Consider the following 5,242-nt stretch of genomic DNA (forward strand, 5'->3'; position numbering starts at 1 on the left):
GACCCAACACCGCCATCCTAAGAGAGGACAAAGGAGCAGGTTGGGACACCAAGATGACACAGGATCCTGGAGACAAAGCAGTGTAAGAAAAAAGACGTATAATACAGAAAAACAAAGATAAGAATAATGGGAGACTTTCTGTTGGAAATAATAAAACAGTGAAATAACATTTTAAAGCATTGAAAGACGGTGAGGAAAATTTTGTCTCCCAGCACTTTGGGAGGCTGAGGTGGGTGCATCACCTGAGGTCAGGAGTTTGAGACCAGCCTGGCCAACACAGTGAAATCCTGTCTCTACTAAAAATACAAAAATCAGCTGGGCATGGTGGTGCATGCCTGTAGTCCCAGCTACTCGGGAGGCCGAGGCAGTAGAATTGCTTGACCTGGGAGCTGGAGGTTGCAGTGAGACGAGATTGCACCATTGCACTCCAGCCTGGGTGACAGAGCAAGACTCTGCCTCAAAGAAAAAAAAAAGTTGTGTGAATGTGGAATTCTATGCACAGAAGAAACAAATTTTCAAACTAAAGGTTAAGGACTTTTTAGAACATAAAAGAGATCTGAACAAATTTGTAAGATATGTAAGATCAAGTTGCAAGATATGTTAAAGAAAGTCTTTCAGTCAGAAGAGAAACAATGCCAGATGGAAATCTGTATCTACACAAAGGAATGAAGACTTGCAGAATGGCAAATGTACATGTAAATATAAAATATATTTTTAAAATCTCTTTAAAGGTAATTATTTAAAGCAAAAATAATAACAATATGTTGCTATTACATGTTACTAGCCCATGGTATACGGGGTTTGTAATGTGTAAAGGTAAAATGCGTGCCAACAGAGGCCAAAGCCTGGGAGGAAGTAAACAGAAGCACGCTGATAGAAGGATCCTTTACTATGAACAAAGGAGTGTAATATTATGTAAATTAAGCAGGAAAGCATGCCCTATCAGAAATTAAAATATATTGTAAAGTTTGAAAGTTTAAAAAATAGTATGAAAATGATAAAATATTAAATTAAATAAATAGAACAAGAAAAAAGGCTAGACATAGATCAAAATGCATATAAGAATTTGTGATAAATAGTTCATTTTAAATCAGTGGGAAAAGAATGCATCATCCAATAAATGTTGTTTATAACTATGTAATAATTTTTAAATGAAATAATATTTTTGCTGCTTTTCTAGTGTTAAGATTATTCCAGATAAGAATTAAGGACTAAATGTAGGCTGCTTATTAAGAAAATGGCAGATAGGAGGCAGGACTATTTTGCAGCTCCCACTCGGACAAACTGAGCAGCATGTGGAGACCTACTTCTTGAATTTTGCTCCATGAACTACTACAGGAACATACCAGGAAAGCCAAGAGAATCCACAGACCCTTCAAATGAGGTGGATTGATGCTGCAGTCTCAGTGGGACAGCTGAGGAACTGTGAGTCAGCCTGCTTTCTCAGCTGGGATGCTTGTAGCCTGGGGCAAGTTCTCAGCCCTCCACACCAGCTGCCTGGAAATAAACTTGGGGCTGCTGGGGGAGGGGGGTGGCACGGTGGGAGTGAGACTGGCCTTTTGGGCTGTGGGCTGTGAGGAAGCCGGGTGAGGCCTGTGGCTACCAGCCTTCCCTCACTTCCCTGGTGAACTGTGTGAGGCAGCAGAGGCAGTGATAATCCCCCTGGGAACATAACTGCATTGGCCTGGGAGCCACACTCTCATCCCCTACAGCAGCCGCAGCAAGCCCCATCCAAAGAAAGTCTGAGCTCAGACATGCCTAACCCTGCCCCCACCTGATGGGCTTTCTCTACCCACCCTGGTTGCCAAAGACAAGGCACACAATCCCTTGGGAGCTCTATGGCCCTGCCCACCACCTGAGAAACCTGAATACTTATCCAAAGGCAACCCTAGGACAAGTTTGTCTCCTCCTTATACAACTGCAGCTGATGCACTTTTGAAAGTGCCACCTCCTGGCGGGAGGCCAACCAACACAAAACCAGCACACTTAACAAAAATACAACCAAAGACCCTCACAGAGTCCATTTCATTCCCCCGCTACCTCCACTGGAGCAGGTGCTGATTTTCATGCTGAAAGACCTGAAAACGGAACACATTACAGGACTCTTTGCAGACACTCCCCAGTACCAGCCTGGAGCCCAGTAGCTCTGTGGGGTGGCTAAATCCAGAAGTAAAATAAAAATCCCTGTAGTTTGGCTCTCAGGAAGCCCCATCCCCAGGGAAAAGAGGAGAGCACCACATCAAGGGAGCACCCTGTGGGGCAAAAGAATTTGAATAGCAGCCCTTGAGTCCCAGAACTTCCCCCGACATAGGCTACCCAATGAGAAGGAACCAGAAAAACAATTATGGTAATGTGACAAAACAAGGTTTTTCAACACCCCAAAAGATCACACTAGCTTACCAGCAATGGATCTAAACCAAGACAAAATCTCTGAATTGCCAGAAAAAGAATTCAGAAGGTTGACTATTAAACTAATCAAGGAGGCATCAGAGAAAGGCAAAGTCCAAATTAAGAAATCAAAAAAATGATACAGGATATGAGTGGAAAAATCTCCAGTGAAACAGCATGAATACAAAACAATGACAACTTCTGGAAATGAAGGACACACTTAAAGAATGGCAAAATGCACTGGAAACTCTCAGCAATAGAATTGAACAAGTAGAAGAAAGAACTTCAGAGCTCGAAGACAAGGCTTTCAAATTAACCCAATCAGACAAAGACAATACTTGGAAAGACAAACTAAAAGGAATTTTTGAAAATGAACAAAGCCTCCAAGAAGTTTGGGATTATGTTAAATGACCAAACCTAAGAATAATTGGTGATCCTGAGGACGAAGAGAAATCTAAAAGTCTGGAAAACATATTTGAAGGAATAATCAAGGAAAACTTCCTTGGCCCTGCTAGTGATCTAGAAATCCAAATACAGGAAGCTCAAAGAAAACCTGGGAAATACATCGTAAAAAGATCATCACCTAGGCACATAGTCATCAGGTTATCAAAAGTCAAGACAAAGGAAAGAATCTTAAGAGCTGTAAGACAAATTCATCAGGTAACCTGTAAAGAAAAACCTATCAGATTGACAGCAGATTTCTCAGCAGAAACCCTGCAAGCTAGAAGGGATTGGAGTCCTATCTTTAGCCTCTTTAAATGAAACAATTATCAACTAATAACTTTGTATTCAGCAAAACTAAGCTTCATAAATAAAGGAAAGTGCAGTCTTTTCCAAACAAATGCTGAGAGAATTCACTGCTACCAAGCCAGGACTACAAGACCTGCTAAAAGAAGCACTAAATCTTAAAACAAAGCCCTGAAATACACCCAAATAGAATATTCTTGAAGCATAAACCTCACAAGACCTACAAAACAATAACACAAAATAAAAACTAAAGTGTTAAGGCAATAAATATCATGATGAATAGAGCACTACCTCACATCTCAATACTAACATTTAATGTAAATGGCCTAAATGCACCACTTAAAAGATACAGAACGGCAGAATGAATAAGAATTCGCCAAACAAGTATCTGCTGTATTCAAGAGACTCACCTGACACATAAGGACTCACATAAACCTAAGGTAAAGGGGTGGAAGAATGAATAAGAATTCGCCAAACAAGTATCTGCTGTATTCAAGAGACTCACCTGACACATAAGGACTCACATAAACCTAAGGTAAAGGGGTGGAAGAATGAATAAGAATTCGCCAAACAAGTATCTGCTGTATTCAAGAGACTCACCTGACACATAAGGACTCACATAAACCTAAGGTAAAGGGGTGGAAAAAGTTATTCTGTGCAAATGGACACCAAAAGAGAACAGAAGTAGGTATTCTTATATCAGACAAAACAAACTTTAAAGCAACAACAGTTAAAAAAGACAAAGAGGGACATTATATAATAATAAAAGGACTAGTCCAACAGGAAAATATCACAATCTTAAATATATATGTACCTAACACTGGAGCTCCCAAATTTATAAGACAATTACTACTAGACCTAAGAAATGAGATAGACAGCAACACAATAATAGTTGGGGACTTTAATACACCACTGACAGCACTAGACAGGTCATCAAGACAGAAAGTCAACAAAAAAGCAATGGAGTTAAACTATACCCTAGAACAAATGGACTTAACAATATTTACAGAGCATTCTACCCAATAACTGAAGAATATACATTCTATTCATCAGCACATGGAACATTCTCCAAGATAGACCATATGATAGGCCACATAACAAGTCTAAACAAATTTAAGAAAACTGAAATTATAGCAAGTAATCTCCCAGACCACAGTGGAATAAAGTTGAAAATCAACTCCGAAAGGAACCCTCAAAACCATGAAAATACATGGAAATTAAATAACCTGATCCTGAATGATCACTGGGTCAACAATGAAATCAAGATGGAAATTAAAAAAGTATTTGAACTGAATAATAGTGGCACAACCCATCAAAACCTCTGGGATACAGCAAAATTGGTGCTAAGAGGAAAGTTCGTAGCATTAAATGCCTACATCAAAAAGTCTGAAAGAGCACAGTTAGACAATCTAAGGTCACACCTCAAGGAGCTAGAAAAACAGAAACCAAACCCAAACCCAGCAGAGGAAAAGAAATAACAAAGATCAGAGCAAAACTAAATGAAATTGGAACAAAAAAAATACAAAAGATAAATGAAACAAAAAGCTGGTTCTCTGAAAAGATAAATAAAATTGATAGACCATTAGGGAGATTAACCAAGAAGAGAGAAAAACCAAATAAGCACAATTAGAAATGAAATGGAAGATATTACAACCGATACCACGGAAATACAAAACATCATTCAAAGCTGCTATGAACACCTTTACATGCATAAATTAGAAAAACTTGAGGGAATGAATAAATTCCTGGAAATATACAGCCATCCTAGATTAAATCAGGAAGAAATAGAAACTCTGAACAGACCAATAACAAGCAGCAAGTCTGAAATGGTAATTTAAAAGTTACCAACAAAAAAAGTCTAGGATCAGATGAATTCACAGCTGAATTCTATTAGACATTCAAAGAAGAATGGGTTCCAATTCTATTCACACTATTCCACAAGATAAAGAGGGAAGCCTTCATAAATCATTCTGTGAAGCTAGTTTCCCCTTAATACCAAAACCAAAAAAGGACATAACAAAAGAAGAAAACTACAGACCAATATCCCTGATGAACACAGATGCAAAAATTCTCAACAAAATACTAGCTAATCAAATCCAACAGCATA

At 38.8% G+C, this 5,242-nt stretch overlaps 2 annotated features.

Moving 5' to 3' along the window:
* Positions 1,097–1,598: an enhancer, noted in NCBI's record as "H3K4me1 hESC enhancer chr4:156473069-156473570 (GRCh37/hg19 assembly coordinates)". NCBI's record gives its function as "activates a minimal SCP1, AML or CMV promoter by ChIP-STARR-seq in primed H9 embryonic stem cells {active_cell/tissue: H9 hESC(primed)}" and the evidence as "EXISTENCE:reporter gene assay evidence [ECO:0000049][PMID:30033119]".
* Positions 1,599–2,098: an enhancer, noted in NCBI's record as "H3K4me1 hESC enhancer chr4:156473571-156474070 (GRCh37/hg19 assembly coordinates)". NCBI's record gives its function as "activates a minimal SCP1, AML or CMV promoter by ChIP-STARR-seq in primed H9 embryonic stem cells {active_cell/tissue: H9 hESC(primed)}" and the evidence as "EXISTENCE:reporter gene assay evidence [ECO:0000049][PMID:30033119]".

The sequence above is a fragment of the Homo sapiens genome, chromosome 4 (genome assembly GCF_000001405.40).
Source record: "Homo sapiens chromosome 4, GRCh38.p14 Primary Assembly".
NCBI lineage: Eukaryota > Metazoa > Chordata > Mammalia > Primates > Hominidae > Homo > Homo sapiens.